General features: G+C 39.8%; 1 gene segment (V, D, J or C) and 1 further gene, besides 2 other annotated features; one reads left to right on the forward strand and one right to left on the reverse strand.

Annotated features, from left to right (window-relative positions):
* The window catches only part of IGK (immunoglobulin kappa locus), a 1,378,008-nt gene that overhangs the window by 103,023 nt on the left and 1,257,663 nt on the right, over positions 1–17,322 (forward strand).
* IGKV1-6 (immunoglobulin kappa variable 1-6) lies at positions 5,879–6,355 on the reverse strand. The segment is given in 2 exon segments: positions 5,879–6,174; positions 6,301–6,355. Coding segments are annotated over 2 exon segments (351 nt in total), but the record flags the coding sequence as incomplete, so codon positions are not given.
* Positions 6,164–6,174: a sequence feature (IGKV1-6 leader sequence).
* Positions 6,301–6,355: a sequence feature (IGKV1-6 leader sequence).

Here is a 17,322-nt window from a genome sequence, read left to right on the forward strand (position 1 = left end):
GTGAACATTTGAGTTGCTTCTACCTTTTGGCTATTGTGAATAATTCGGTTCTGAATGTGGATATACAAATATATCCTCAAGTTAATGTCTTCAGTTACTTGGGTATATGTCCAAAAGTGGAATTGCTGAATTATATAGTATTTCTATTTTTAATTCTTCGAGGAATTGCCATCTGGTTTCCCACAGCAGGTGGGCCATTTACATCACCACGACAGTGTCCACAGGAGTTCCAGTTCCCTAAGTTCTCACCAAGACTGGTCATTTTCTGTTGGAAAAAAAATCCTAATAGGTGTGAGGTGGGTTTTGTTTTTATTTTTCTAAGGATTAATAATGTTGACCATGTTTTCCTATGCTAGTTTTCTAATTATCTCTATAGAATCTTCTTTAGAGAAATGTCGATTCATGTACTTTCCTCATTTTTAATCAGGTATTTTATTTTAAGGTTCACATATAAGACTTATTTTTGTATAGTAGATATTATTAACCCCTTATCAAATATAAGATTTACAAATGTTTTCTTCTATTCCACATGTTGCATTTTCACTGTGTTGATTATGTCTTTTGATGCCCATTTTACATTTTTATGAAGTCCAATTTATCTTCTTTTCTACTTTTGCCTGTATTTTGGTATTAAAGTTGTTAGTATTTAAATGTCTATAAATACTGACTTACTATGCTGAGAAGGTCACACTGCACCATCTCTCTGATGGTGGAGCTAAGAGTTTTACACTCTCCCATTTTGTACCGGGGGACAGTGCAGCTATGTGAGAACCCAGTGGCTTTACCCAGCTTATTTGTCTTGCATTTTTGGTGACATGGATTGTTATTCACATTGGCTTCCTCTGGCAGGTCCACCTGGAAAGCATTATATTTAGCAAGAAAAAAGGAGGCAGTGAATGATGTCACTGTGGACTGTGTATATTCCCTGTTGCAAATGTCAAATTCGTGAAGCATAAAGGGATTTACTAGAGGATATTAAATTCCTTGCAAATTGTTGAAAAGCCTTAAGGAACAGGCTCCAGGCAAAGCCTCTAGAACAATTCCAAGAATGGCACTGCTGGCACAGGCTGGGGAGGAGCTCCTCCTGCCTGAGACTCCACAACATTCAAGCTGTCTCCTGCAGAAAAGAGAGCAGCTCTTCTCACTACTGCCCCCAGAAGGACAGCCGCTCTGCTATCAACTACGAGAGATCTGACCCCTTTCTCTGACTGCCCATCAGATGTGTTACTACAGAGTGCTTTTGGATTGAGATGAGGGAGGGAAAATGCCTGATCTCACTCAAATGTGCTCATTTTCCTGGTCTGGGTCTCAGCCAGGCAGCACAGTCCTGTGGGCACAGTATCTTCACTTGCCAGGTTCCTATAAAATGAGAGTATCTTTCTTGACTGTGGAAAATATGGGGATGGTAAGGGTCAAGGAATAGGAAAAGGAGTACTTGGAGTTGCCTGAGCTGCCACTCTGGTTTCCCCAAATGTTTTCAATCCATTAAATTCATGATAATAAACACCTTTCTGCCTAACCAGCCATAATCGCTTTTCTTAGATCCAAATGATTCTGTGATAAAACTAAAGAGAAAAAATAAATACACTTTTCAACGTTTAAGCTGACCAGGAGGCTGTCTCTGGTGTTTACATGTCCATATCCCACTATGCATTTCGTCTTCCCTTTGCCTCACTGGAGATCCAAGTGCAGGGAATGCTTCATATGACTGTGATCCCTAGAACTTCATCCTCATGACTGTTGAAATCTTCTCTGAGTTTTACCAGTGGAAATGGCAATAAATAGAAAGATTCCAGAAGGTCCCCTAGGGTCCATATTTTCTGTACTTCCTCTCTAAAATATGTAAAATCAATTATATTTGCTCTTGCTTTATATGGGCTACATCTGTGTCCCCAGCACACACCCTAACGCCCTGCGTTGACAACTTATCCAGTATTGTATTAAGTCTAAATAGGCACATGTTTATCATATTATTTCTTCCAATTTAATGAGATAATTGTCATGTCAAATCTTTGGATTAAGAACCATCAGCCAGAAAACCACAGCCCTGAGAAAATAGAAATAGAGTATTTCAAGCTGTTCAGTTTGCACAACAATGATGATTCTATAGCTCATTTACAAGATATAAATATTCTGTTTATGGGAGTAAGAGCAACATTCACGGTGAGTGTTGTAGACCCTCCGCCACATCTGACAGCATAGCAATTCAATAGCACAAGGGTTTGTGTGCCAGCAGTGCTTGACTAATAATGGGTTTTTTTTCTATAGGGAAAGCTGCACCTGTGCACATGACAGGATCATGAGCTACACTTTACTTCACTTTTTTTGAAGTCAATTACCTTCTTGATCCAAAGCCACAGTATGGAAGAACTTCCTGACTCTGATGAAGGCATTTGGAAAATCCTCAAATAATATTTTATGCAGTAACATAACCAAAGACAAAGGAAAATTCATATATAGGATAATAACCACTGCTCTCCTCATGTTACATGAAGTGCACTTGAATCACCTGACATCAGCTGTTAGTATGAGCCCTGATGTGTGGTAGAATGTTAGGGGCTCAGGAAGGGTCAATTTTCTTGGCAAATTAGTGTTCAAGAGAGCCAGTAGCCCTGTACATCTCAGTTAGTTGAAACTCATATTATTGAGTCCCCACAGGGACCTCCGTAACAGTGGTTCATGAGGTTACCTGGGAAAGTGGGCAAAGGTGACTGACTGAAGTCCATGTGTTCAATCATCCTCATTATGAAAAGCCCCCTGCTCATTAATGGCATTTGGATTAATATTCACTGAGAAAGCATGTTTTTCGATTATGGCTCATTTTTGAAACATCTAGTCATAGCTCTTCCAAAATGACTTTGTCTGCAATCATCCTGTTGTGTTTCTTTTAAGGCCTGATGATCTGTCAAAACCAACAACCAATATTATTAAATTGCTGTTCTCTTTGCAATGTGGCAATGTGATCATCAGATGTAGGCCTTGCAGTTTACCCACGGTTAGGATTTTTACATTTCCAGGGATTCCTTGACAATGGCACTAATGTGACGCCATCTAGCATCCATTGTTGTGAGAACTCTATTTGGAATATCATCATTGTGGGCATGAACATAATGGAGACTTTCATAGGATGCAATGATTAATATTCAACATTAGTCAAAATCTGCTGTAGTCCTACCCTTGGAGATCTACTGGTTTGGAAAAATATTTTAGGTAAGGACAACAATTTGGTAAAGTTTTAAAAATAAAGGCTAAAAAGAAATTTTCTTTAGCAAGAGTATGAACTATCTGTGGTCCAGAATACCATTTTTTTACAGATGCAAGAAAAAATTATTTAAATGTATATAATTTAGATAATAATTTTGTAAATTTGTATATATTGCATATATAATAGAATAAACATAATTAAATATGAATACTATATATACTTATAGCCAACATTTTATCAAATAAATATATATTAACTTCTATGTATCTTATATATATGCACATTTTTCCATAAATAAGGTAAATTTTAATTTTTTAATGAAATACTAATTAGTTTTAATTTCATCTTTAATTTTCTCTTAATAACTTCATAATTTGATTACTTAATGTTCACATTTATACCACCAATTTAAGAAAAAACACATGTATCTATATATAGGCAGAGGTGTAAATACTGTATCAGTAAGCTTTTATGCATTAATGATTGATAATCGGTTAAATATACAACTCAGTGGCTGATAACTGTAAATATTTGTTTTCATCTTCATGGATGCTCATGTTCACAATCATCTGGCTGATTAAGGAAGGGCTCAGCTGATTGATTCCTCCGCAGGGCACTGAGCTTGTCTTTAGCCTACAGATACCAATTTTCTGAGGACGAGGCTGAACAGCAGTGACTACACGTGACACAAGATTCTTGTGACAGGTCACAGGAGTGAACAACATCCCAAACCGAACTGCACAGTTGAATTTAAGTCCAATAATTTCTAACATAGCTTCACACATTTTAAATATATTTTTTGATTTCAGTGAGTACAAATTTTCAAGAAAATGTTTACTCCAATTAATTATAGAGGTGTTTGATCATTCCATGGACAAGTAATTATGTTTTCAACCTTTACAATCCTGAAAATATTTGCAAACGTAAATTTGCATTAATAAGAAAATAAAGCTGGATGTGTTTTCAACATGTGCTTTTAAATATAATTTTTGAAATGACCTCAAAGGGGGAAAATCATTTTAACTTATGTAACTATCCCTTTTTACCTCTCTTGTGTCCTATAGAGTTGCCCAATAAGAGGTCCTCCCATGAGATTTGGAATCAGAAAAGGATGACTCAATATTCTCCATTGGTACCTAAGGCAGACACAGGAACAGAGGTGAGGACTAGAGAAACACCTGAAAAGATGCTGTAGGAAGCTGAGAGCATCAGCACCCCCACCCCTAAGCTTCCAGACAGGACTGAGGACCACATGGTTAGAAAGCCCTTACTTCAGGGACAGATGCATTCTGTTTTCTGAGGGAGCACCAGAGATTCCTGCTTCTAATATCAGCTTTCCTGACTACTATATCCTTGGCTTTGAAAGGTCATAGTGGGAAAGTTAATCATAGGAATTCGGTCATTCTTGTGATACCCGACAGAGCCAAGAAACCAGGAGGGAAAGGCACTCAGGGTGAAAAATACTGTTTCTAGAATGCAATTGAAATAGGCCCTATTATCCCATGGAACTAAAGTTTATGGTTTTTTGAATAAACAGAAATCGACTCCTCCAGTCTTAAAACTCAAGATAGCAACATTTATCTTACCTTTCTTTTTTTTTTTTTTTTTTTTTTAAATTTCAGGAAAGCAACCATCAGGCCTCCCAGATACTATCAATTTGCTGAAACTTATATATCACTGAATCGGGACAGTGAGACATCAGACCCTTCACCCATTATGATTGCCTAACTGACCTCCTGCTTCCTGTTGACCCAATTATCTTTCTTAACCCTCCCTAACTCCTGTTTTTCCACATTTCTTCCTTGTTATATAAACCCCTAATTTCAGTTGGTCAGAGAGATACATTTGAGAATGGCATCCCATCTCCTCAGCTGCAGCACCTGATTAAAGCCTGTTCCTTGAAAATACTTGTCTTAGTGATTGGCTTTCTGTGTGACGAGCTGCAGGATCTACACCGAATCCCTGGCATTTCAGTAACAAAATTCTCTGCAAGCTTCACCGTTTTGGTTTATTGTAACCTGAAATCAAATTTATCCAAAACTTCTGAGATAACTTGATATAATTCTAGGATTCACTTTGTCCACCACTGCTTACCAGTCTGAGCTTGCCAGCTCCCAACCCTTCCTAGTGCCAATGAGCTTTCTCAAAAGAGCCATAGGTAACATTTTCCCTTTTTCATAAAATGCTAAATTTCTCTTTGTTCTTCCAACATATTGAAGACCACTGAGTTTTCCTGTATGCCCCATTTGGCAAATATTTCTTTGCAAATAAAACATTAAATTTAGAGATTCATCTCTACATTTTATTTAGACTTCAGTAGTTTACTCTAATTCTCTGTATTAAGACTATATCTGCTTCAAATATCTATAGTGGCTTCTTCTCTGTTATACGAATTCCAACTGAAGCCATAAACTAGACTCTTCAGGTGTCATGATCTCTGTCTTTATTAAATCAAGAGAGGCATTGCTAGAACTGTGCAGTTGGGGCTGAGAAAGAGAAAAGAATTAGGGTGCAGAGGTGACTTCGTGTCCCCCTCTACCAACACCATCAGAGTGTGGCTGCATCTGAGGAACAATCTCAGCCAATGGAGGCATCAGGAGGAGCAGCTGGGGCAGCCCAGTCTCACACATCTGCTTCCCTGGGGGTTTCTGTTCGGGTGTGTAACACTGTGGGAGGGTAATTGTAATCTTGTAGACAGTAATAAGTTGCAAAATCTTCAGGCTGCAGGCTGCTGATGGTGAGAGTGAAATCTGTGCCAGATCCACTGCCGCTGAACCTTGATGGGACCCCACTTTGTAAACTGGATGCAGCATAGATCAGGAGCTTAGGGGCTTTCCCTGGTTTCTGCTGATACCAGCCTAAATCATTTCTAATGCCCTGACTTGCCCGGCAAGTGATGGTGACTCTGTCTCCAACAGATGCAGACAGGGAGGATGGAGACTGGGTCATCTGGATGGCACATCTGGCACCTGAGATTGGAAACACAAAAACAAATGGTCCACACAATTAATCATGTAGTAAGAGAATTTCCCTGAATAGCCAGGCTGTGCTGAGCACCCTGGGCTGAGTAAACTGCCAGTGTTCTCCATCCTTACCTGGGAGCCAGAGCAGCAGGAGCCCCAGGAGCTGAGCGGGGACCCTCATGTCCATGCTGTGTCCTGAGTGGGTCTGACTCCTGCACAGGGTGTGATCAGCCTGTTAATAAGTCTTCAGGTCAGGAGACTGTGCTCTGGGAACATGCAAATGAGCAGGGGAAGGGGCAGGCTGGGCACAGCTGCAGGGCTGGCTCATCTCAGTAACTCAGCACCGGCTCAGTGTCCCCAGGTGTCCCAGGTAAGACCAGGGTAGCACAAATTTGTCTGCAGAGAATGTGTTTCTACTGGGGACTATTTTGTTATGAGAAACATTTTAAAGATATTTTTTGACAATATTCCTCGAGAGTCAATGGGGTAATATATTTCATTGGTGTATGGGGATTATTTTGGAGAATATTCTTGTTTGTAGGAAACACAGTACATATTAGATGGTACGATTCTCAGGTCTTCAAAAGACTGTTATAAGATTCCATTTAGGGAAGGGGGTAATTGTGCTATACTTGAAACATTTCTGTGAGTTTAACATTGTTCCTTTCTAAAAAATTAAAAATAAAATTTATTGACATGATGCTATATATATTTGTAAGTATTAGGTAATGGTGTTATGCCATTGTTCTTACCAGTATAAGATCAAACAATTTACTACAGATACACAAAGATGATGCCGTGCTTCTTCAATGCATGTGGCACTAACAGCCCCACCATTATCAAGAGCTACAGGTCTTTTTAATACCCAGAGACTAAATGGGCTGCACCTGTGTAGAATTTTTGCATCCCTAACTTAAGTACTAATAGATTGCTTTTGATTGGAAGCCTTAGCAATAAAATAAATAGTTGATTAACATGTTTTTTAATGTTATATATATTATATACTCTATTATTCCAATAAAGTATGCTAAAGAAAAAAATGTTATTAAGGAAACCATAAAATAGAGAAAATATATTTACTACTTATTAAGCATTTGCTTACAGGTGACACACACAGAACAAAATATAAGTGTATCTGCAAATTTCAAACCCAAGTTATTCAAGGGTTAACTGTACCATGATGAACGTAGCAGTCCCCATCTGTAATCTAGGGCTTTCCCCTTTGCTGTACCTCTACTCATTTCCAATGACCATATATATGTCTTATGTTCTTTATGATCTTGGGCAGAGAACTCTGCCTGGATGCATTGCTGGCCAGATGGCCTGGAATGTGTATCTCTTAGGAAAGTGCTATGGTTTGACTGTGTCCTCCAGAATCCATCTATTGTAAAGTTAATTCTCAGTGTAATGGTTTTTGCCAGGTGGGGCCTATTGGGATGTGTTTAGGTCATGAGGCTGGAGCCCTCTAGCGGAATACATTAATGCCACTATAAACAGGAATTACAGGGCTGAGATCTCTCTCCTGCTCCTCTGACATGTTAAGACATGGCCTTCCTTCCTTTGAAGAACTCAACGCTCCAGGCATCATCTTGAAAGCGGAGAAAGCAGACCATGTGGTTGATCTTCAGTTATCCTGAGTCAGGTAGGTTGTTGATGTGTCTTTTACCATTCATTTTCTGTTCCCTCCCTCACTTTCCTCCTTTCCTCCCAGTATAAATTTGCTACCTAACAGGAATCCTTATTGCTGGTGGATCCAAACTGAGAGAGTAAAAAAGAAAAGTCATTAATCTTTTGTATGAGGGGTATTTCTCATCTGAAATCTTACCATTTCTCTTTCTTTGATATGTACAAATATTCAGGAAGCACCTAATTTTTTTTTTTTTACCAATGTATCTTAGATTGAATTTACGCTGTGATTTTTTTTCTGTGTGTTAAAACAAAAAATCAAGTTGTAAGCCACCAACCTACTCAATGGGCTTCTCTTTTGGCAGAGAGAACGTCAAAGAAATCTGAAAAACTAGGTTAGGCCATGACTGGCAGGTGGGTTTAGATGTAACTCATTATACTCTCCTCCCTTTGGAGTTCAGACAAAACTGACCAGTGTTATCATTACAACAGAGATCTTTAGACTGACAAATCAAATGCTTTGTAGCAATAAGATACCATACTCCAACATGACAGATAATAGGCCCTGAAGAAAATCTAAATATTGTACCCTAAAAATATTTTTTTTGATGTATTCTGAAGTGGCCCTGCAAAGCTGCCTGTTATGGGGGAAATTTGCATTCTGCAGAGCATCTCCTCCTCTTACTATGTCTTTTCCAAAGAGTTGGACATTTCTTTAAAGGTCTGATAAGCAACATTCACCATCTACTTTACTGTTACCTGCAAGGTTCATCTAAGTGACAAGAACCTTGACTTCCACACCCCCTTATCTAAACTCAAGGATTTCTTTATGATGAATTCAACTCTTTAGGCAGAGCTTAACTCTTTCAACCAGTTGCCAATCAGGAAAACTTTGAAGCCACCTGTGACCTGGAAGCCCCTGCTTCAAGATATCCCACCTTTCCAGGACAAACTAATGTATATCTTATATGTACTGACTTAGGTCTTTCCCTGTAATTTTTGTGTCTCCCTAAAATGTATAAAACCAACGTGTAATCCAGCCACCTTGGGCACATATTTGCAGGGCCTCCTAAAGCTGTGTCACAGGCCATAAGCCTTATCTTTGGCAAAATAAACCTATACATTGATTGAGACCTGTCTCAGATACTGTTTTGTTTACACTGGGTCACAAAAGTTAAAAATCCTCTAAAACTCTCTACACATCTATAAATCTACATTAGAGACAGTGGAGTGAGTATACCTCAACTCAAGTCATACTTTGAGTTTAAGAACCAGACAGATTTTCAGGTACTTCGATAAATGAGGAGACATTTGGAATAGGGTCCTTAGCCCAGAGCTAAGGTCAGGCTGGCAGTGCCTGAGCGCTTCCAGGCCCTGGCCCTGGTCTGTGGAGGAAGCCACTGTTCTCCTGAGCCACAGGGCTGAGAACCTGGGATGAGCCACAGGCCTTGGCCGCAGGGCTGCCTGGCAGGGTCTTCAGGGAGGGAAACTGCTCACAAATTCGCGGGAGCTGCATTAAGCATATATCCCCCCAGCCTGGCAAGAGTGAAAGTCTCAGGACACAGACCTTAGGGCTGGGGCTGGGATCCTGGGCTGGCTGCTGTCAGCTGTGTCCTCCCTTGTCCTGAATGACTGGGACCCTGCTGGAGCCAAAGAGGGAGGGTCAGCAAATGTCCTCAAGGTCTTCACTCAGCCAGACTCTGTTCTGCTTGGAAAGAAAAGGAACACATGCTACAAAAATAAACATAAAATTATGTGTATTTGTAATATGAATTTCTAGTATAAACTTTACATATTAAATACATACATTTTAGAAATAAGTTATATTTATATATTTGTATATACTATGTATCTGTGGATAAATATGTGATGCATGTTTATGTATAAAGAGATGCAAGTTTCATTGCTAGTATAAGGTATAGTTTTAAACTTTAATAAATTGAACGTGAACATTGAAAACAAGCACTGGGTGCACCACCTCATGGCCCCTCCTCACTCCAGGGCCTGAGGGTCATAAAGCTCGGGACTCTCTTCCATGTGCCCCCTGGGCCGATAGCAGTGAGCTACCCATTGCTGAGGATCATGAGTGACCTGAGGGGGATCTGCAGAATCACAGGGCAGCAGATGCCCAGGAGATGGATAGTGAATTTGGACCCTGAATGGAGGGACGTTTTGTCCACAGGGCTCAGCACAGACAAGTCCTTTTCTGGTCATTTCTGTCAAGCAAAGCAGCACACATGGCTCAGAGGCTGCATGGTCAGAGGAATAAGCCCCTCCATGGCTCATTCCCAGCTTCCCCTCTGACTGGGGTGATGTGGGATCTCTCTGCCCAGCTTTCATGACTGACCAGCTGCTGGGACCCTGTTAACAATGGCCTATGTCAGTGCCATGCACAAGCTTCTTGATAGTTACCATTTTACTTTCTGGTCTCCAATAACCACAAATTGCCAACCATGACCGTTTCACAAAGATTCATGGAGAGGGGTCAGAATTATGGGTTGAGCAACGTGCCGGGGCATGTATGTAAGAGAAACAAGGTGTGGCCAGCCCATGTGGAAGTGAGGATGAATTTTCATCATGAATTCAGAGAAGGAGGTGGGAGAAAGCATCTGACATGCTTCAGGCAGTGATGGCCACAAGATACATTAGAGATGTTCATAGAAGAGGTGGCAAGTGGGTTTGAGATGAAAAGGGAATGTGAATTCAGAGGTGTCCCCCAGCCTGTTCCCCTGAGAAGATTTCAGACCCTTAGCAACCCCTGGGCCCCCAGGTAGAGCTGTTGCTAGGGAAGATTTGTACATGATAGGGGACAGGAAGAGGGATCACCTACCTCTGAAGGCATCTTGGTTGGTAGTGGCCAGAGTGACATCTGTTCAGGCCCATTATTATCCCTGACCCAGGCAGGGATCATGTCCAGGAGGGCAGTAGGAGCCAGCAGGAGCTCAGAGCCATGCCCCAGTTCTGCTGGTGCCAGGCTAGGATGTTCTTCATACTCTGGCCAGCCCTGCAGGTGACAGTGACCCTCTAACCTGAGAGACAAGGAAGAGGATGAAGATGGCATCCACATAACATGCTCACTGTCATCCAAGTGGGGGAACAAGCATGCAGATTCCCAAATATTAATACCAAGCTTTTATTTCATCCAACTTGATGAAATTCTGATCAGAAGGAGAAACAGTCTAACAAATTCATCATCAAGGAAAGTTCATGTTTAATACAAACTATCTGAGGCTGAAACCTGACTTCCCCTTCCTCACCAGGCAGTCAGGACAGCAGGAGCAAAAGGAGAAAAGCTGGGTCCCAAAGTCCACAAGGTGACTCCTGGGGCTGATCCTGCTCAGAGAACGTGGCAACAGTGGATAAGTCTGCCGAGAATGCCACACCATCATACTCTGAGCTGGAGGGCTTCAACCACAGACATTTATTGCTAATTTATTAGACATTTATTGCGAATATATTAGAACCATGGAAGGTTCAAGATCAAAGTCCAGAAGGATTTGCTTTCTGGTGAGAACCCTGTTTGTTTCCAGATGTCCTCTCTGGATACATCCTCATGTGTGTTCAGCAATGTGCCAGGCATGTGTAAGAGAAGCAAGTGCATGCTTTACTCAGTACACGCTTGGAGGCTGGTGAGGGGTTCAGTAACAGCTCAATGATATTTCTTTTTATTAGGACACAAATCCTATTAAATCAGAACCCCGATGTTTTCACCTCATTTCACCCTAATTACCTCTTCATAACCTCTATGTCTAAATGCAGTAATATTGGAGGTTGGAGATTCAAAATATGAATTTGTGAAACACCATTCAGTTCATAGCAGGTGCACTTTGAGGATATGGCCAAGGCAGTAGGAAGGGCAAGGCAAGGCTTCCAGTCTCAGAGCACAGAGGGCATTTTCCCACCACTCAGCACACTGGCAGCTCCTCCCAGGTGATCCAGGTCACACATGAGACCCCATTCCTGCCTTGGGGGCTGCCTGCTGATAATGAAACAACATCACCCTTAATTTCACTATTTCTAAGATCAGGCTTCTATTTTGTGTTTATTATGGGGTTTGTCCAATGGCCAGGTTTGTGACATACCACCCAATGGCAGGTTTGTGACATAACATCTTATAGAATTTTAGATGCTGGTTTCCAGTGAGACTTGATGGAGTTTTTTCATGGGTTTTCATGGAGTTGATCTTATTACATCCATCAATAGGCTGCATTCTGTAGGGAATACAAAACGATTCCTCTCCTCAATAAACCAGTCACCTAGTTGAAGATAAAGAGTTGAGAAAAGATGGTCACAAAACAATCAGGTGTTAAATTCTGTGATCCATGTGAGATGCCAACAATGTGGTTCTGGGAAAGAGAGAGTGAGGTTGTGAGGGGCCCTGCAGAGCACAATGTCCAGGGCTAGGGTCGGGAGTAGAGGGCCCCTGGTCTGGATCTGTCTACTCAGCTTCATTCCTCCCATTGTTGAAACAGTGGCTGCACCAGCCAGCAAGCATCTGAGACCACCTGATTCTCTGGACTAACAGCTGCTGAGGTTTGTGCTCTGAGCTATAACACTGTGAGGGTCTAACTGTAACCATTTAGATCAGCACTAATGAAAATAATTTTTTAATATGGTGAAAATGTCTGCAAATTTCTAACAGAAAAATTGATGAAAAGATGGTTTTAATTAGGCCCCCACAGCAGTCTCTGCCTGGGACCTGACTTTGTCTTTGAGCCAGTGGAATCTATGCTGAGATTGTAAGCTGGGCAGGGAAATCACAGCAGGGCAGGCTGTGCTCTGGGTGCTGAGGAGGACAGGAGGACACTCCTTCAGGGTTAGTGATGCTGGGAGTTCGAGGGGAGAGACTGCATGGAGCTGCCTGTGAATCGCCCTAGCAATGCCCTCTGGACACTGCTCATCTCACAAGTGTACTCGGATGCCAGTGGATGGCCCAAACATGGGCTCAGGTTGGACAAGGACAAAGATTTAGGGATGAATATATGGGGCTCATTTGATACTCTGAAGTTTCAGCACAAGCATAACGAATTATATGGGGAGAGAAAGAAGTCACAAGGTTGTGATTTTTCATTTGGTATTAAAATATATCCCCTCTGCTCATTTTTCCCTGCAGAATGTAACTACTGATACATATTTAAGCAAAGTCACTGTTTTTAATTGTTTTAGTAACTGACAGCCTGTGTGCACAGTTCCTAAGTAACTGGGTAGCCAGACCATCATTCCTATGGTAAAGCCAGGAAGTGACTGTGGATGTGAACAAATGTGAGTTTAATGTACATGTCTCCAAAGCCACGGGCCACTGATCTAGGGAGAACCTGCAGTCAGTTTGCTTTCCCATGCCCAGATGAGAGGACACCTTGATCTGTGTTCTTCTGATGAACTCTAAAAACTCTAAAAACTGATGAACTCTAAAAACTAATATTCTGAAGGTCTAGTTCATACTTCTTTTCTTTGCTAGAGGGACTCTCTCACTCACATGTATTGTACTCTCTGCATAGAACAGTATGTGATACATACAACTTGTTTTCTGCTAAATACCCATCAATCATGTCATTCATGAGTCTTCCATAGATGTTACCTGCCCTATGAATCTGGGCTCTTCCAAAAGAATGGGCCAGAGGTGGAGCTGTGCTTTCACATTCTCTTGTGCTTCCCTCGTGGACAACCTTTGCTAGTTGTCACCCTTCCCACCCAGCAAAAGTAACTGTCTTTCTGACATCTACACAATCATTTAGGTTTTCCTGTCTTAAACTTCATATAAATAGCATTATGTGTATTTTTATCTTTTTAGTCTTGGTATTATTCCTTACTACTTTTGAGGCCTTCATTTCTTCCAGTGGACTCAAGGTCCTGTCTGATGTCATTTCCTGTGATTCTGAAGGATTTTCTCTCAAATGTTTTATAAGACATAGCTGCTATGAATGAATGTATTTTGTTTACCAAAATTTTTTTTTTTGCCTTTTTGTTAGATTTGAAGGATATTTTCACTGGATAGATTTCCTGGCTGCCTTCTTTTTTTTCCTTTTCAGCATTTAAATATGTCATTTTACTGCTTCTAGCCTCTATTGGTCCCGATGAAAACTTAGCCAATGGCTACGTTGTTGTGTCTCTGTATATAGTGTCTGCTTTTATTCTGATGCAATGAAGATTTTTTCTTTGTCTTTCAACATTTTAATATAGTGTGTTCACTTATTAATTTCTATTGACTATCTAAAAGGGTTTTATTGAATTATTTCATCTAAGAATATTTTTTATTACTTTTGAAAAGTTTTTGTCATTGTATCTCCAAATATTTTTTCAGCCACTTTCTCTGTCTCTCCTTCTTTGTGACTCTCATTATACATTTGTTGGTATCCTTCACTCTGAGCTATAAATCTCTGACATTTCTTCCTTTTTTTCTAAACATTTTCTTTAGGCTCAAACATTTCCATTCCTCTATTTTCAAGTTAACTGATTGTTCTGTCATCTCAATTTGCTATTAGACCTAGCTAATAAATATTTAAATTGTATTATGGTACTTTTCATTTCTAGAGTTCCCATTTGGTCATTTTTTATACTTTCCATTTCTTTTCTTGAGGTCCTACTTGCTGAATCTTCTTTTTAAAAATATTTTCGTTTTTATGTCAATGATCATAGTTTTAAAAATAATTATTTGAACATCTGCATATTAACTGCTTTGTAGTCTTTGCTAAAGCCAATAATGAGGACAAGTTAGAATCAGCTTTCATTGGCTATTTTCTGTTGTCATTATTGTAGTTGCTTTACTTTGTTCCTTCAATATAAATCATACTCCTCTGTTTTTTTTTCAGGATTTTTTAAAACTGAAAGCTGCACACTTTTGATAATATATTATAGTACCTCTCTTTAGATTGTGGGGTTTTTATTTTAATTTTAATTTTTTTAGAAACAGGGTCTCACTCTGTCACCCAGGCTGGAGTGTGGTGGTGTGATCATAGCTCGCTGCAGCGTCAACCTCTTGGGCTCCAGTGATCCTCCAGCTTCATCCTCCTGAGTAGCTGGGACTATAGGTGCATGCCACCACTCTCTGCTATTTAAAAAAAAAAATTTGTAGAGATAAGGGTGTCACTATTTTGGCCAGCCTGGTCTTGAACTCCTGGCTTCATGTAATCCTTCTGCATCAGGCTCTAAAGTAGTGGGATTACAGGCTTGAGCTACCATGTCAGGCCTGGAACTGGTTTCATTTTTCTGAGCATTTTAAAATTTTTTTCTTAGTTACTTGTCAGAACTTACTTCTGGTACCTGACTTATGATAGTTGGAGTTATCATTTTTTGACTTTCAGATGGTGTGAAAGTGATATGCATTCAAGTAGAAATAGTACTTCTAGTATTTATACAACTATTCTATCTTCTCTTTCAATAGAGTATTCAATAAATTGCATGAGATATTCAACACTTTGTTGTAAGATAAGGTTTGTGTTAGATAATGTTGCCCTACTGTAAACTAATGTAAGTGTACTGAGCACATTTAGGATAGAATAGGCTGAGCTAGTGGATTACATATATTAAATGTATTTTCAATGCATGATATTGAAAAATCTATATCTCATATGGTGTTTGACCACTGATATCTCTGCTTTTTATTCTTAATATTTAGTTTGAATTTATAGAAACTGCACATGTATCTGCACAGCTTAGTGGTCACCAATGATTTGAGAAGAAGTTTTGCTCAAATATCTGGAGGTTATAAATCTATCTTCTGTCAATCCATCTGTGTGTAGTTTAAAAAGCTCCTGCAAAATGCAGCTAGTTCTTACCTCCCTCTGGTTTTACTTTGCACCGGGCACTTCTGGGTCTCATCACTCATATCTATAGCTTCTAAGTCACCAGGAATGTGTGTAGAGATTGTTTCAGCAATATGGCTCTATCTTACCCAGGAATCTGCTATTTACTGTTAGCAGGTGTACTACTTGCCCCAAACAGGGCATCATCTTTGACTAACAAAGCTGTGGGCTTTTTCTGTTCATTCCCTATGGAGTTCTGCATGTTTAGCTGGAAACACTGAAGAATTTTACTTCATTCCTTGGCTTTACTCAAGTTCACCCGCTTTGGCAGCAAGCTGCTAGCTTTATTTGCTATCCTCATATTGGTAAAACTCCAGTTCTGTATTTCATGCTGACTGAGCTGGGGGTAGAAGGGTGCTGTCACAGGCAAAAGGCTACAGACTTTTTCTGTCCTTACTCAAAGCACTAGTACTTTTTTTTCTATAAAGAATATACATCTTTAATTATTTTATGCTTCACCAATTTTCAGAGTGCTGAAATAGTTTTGATATTTTAGCTTTATATGTGTGTTTGTTATTTATTTTTGCACAGAAGATTTATTAAACTCTTTGTGATGCCATAAACAGAGATGCCTTCTAAAATGCATTTAAATGAACATAATAGCCATGCTGAAATGGAATGAGGTTATTTACTAACATAAGTAATTTTGGACTTGAGAACTTGAACTCTTCACCCTCAGTTTAAAGAGAAACCAAGGACTTAAAAAATAGAGAATCCTGGTCCCTGGATTTCACATTCATGAAGAAATGCACAGTCAATTTTTAAGATGCCTTCTTTGTATTCTAGAACTGAGCAAATTAGTGATTACACTCTACATAATGGGAGCTATGATTGTCTTTAATAGAGATAAGAATTAGAAATAGGAAAAGGTAGCTGGGTGCGGTGGCTCATGCCTATAATCCCAGCACTTTGGGAGGCTGAGACGGGTGGATCACGAGGTCAGGAGATCGAGACCATCCTGGCTAACATGGTGAAACCCCGTCTCTACTAAAAAAATACAAAAAAATTAGTCAGGCGTGGTGGCGGGTGCCTGTAGTCCCAGCCACTTGGGAGGCTGAGGCAGGAGAATGGCGTGAACCTGGGAGGCAGAGGTTGCAGTGAGCCGAGATCATCATACCACTGCACTCCAGCCTGGGTGATAGAGCAAGATTCCATCTGAAAAAAAAAAAAAAAAGAAAGAAAGAAATAGGAAAGTGCAAAATAGGAGGAAACTTGTGGAATTGTTTAAAAACTACCTTTTTCTTATTTTTTAGTTACTTGTGTGTGTGTTTTAAGTTTATGTGGAAATACTTTTAGACCTAAAATTTGAAAAATATGGTAAAAATGATTCCCATATGCGCCTCTTTCAGCTTGCTCTAATGTCAGCATCATAAATAACCACAGTATAAGTATCACAACCATGAAATGAACATAGATATAATGTTATTTGTTAACTCATTTAAAATACCATATGGATTTCACTGATTTTTCCTGTTGATGACTTTTTTTATGTTACAAGATAAAATTCAGGTTTCTGTATTTTATTTGGTTATCCTGTCCTCAATATCTTTAAATCTGTGATAGTTTTTCACTTTTGTTTCTCTTTCATGGCCTTCAAACATTTGAAGTTTACTGTCCAGGTATGTTGAAGAATGTCCTCCTAGTTGGGTTTGTATATGGTGTTTACTACTGATTCAATTCACACCATTAATTTTTGGCAAGAATAATACAGACAGGATGTATCCTC

Source organism: Homo sapiens, chromosome 2 (assembly GCF_000001405.40).
Source record: "Homo sapiens chromosome 2, GRCh38.p14 Primary Assembly".
NCBI classification, from domain to species: Eukaryota; Metazoa; Chordata; class Mammalia; order Primates; family Hominidae; genus Homo; species Homo sapiens.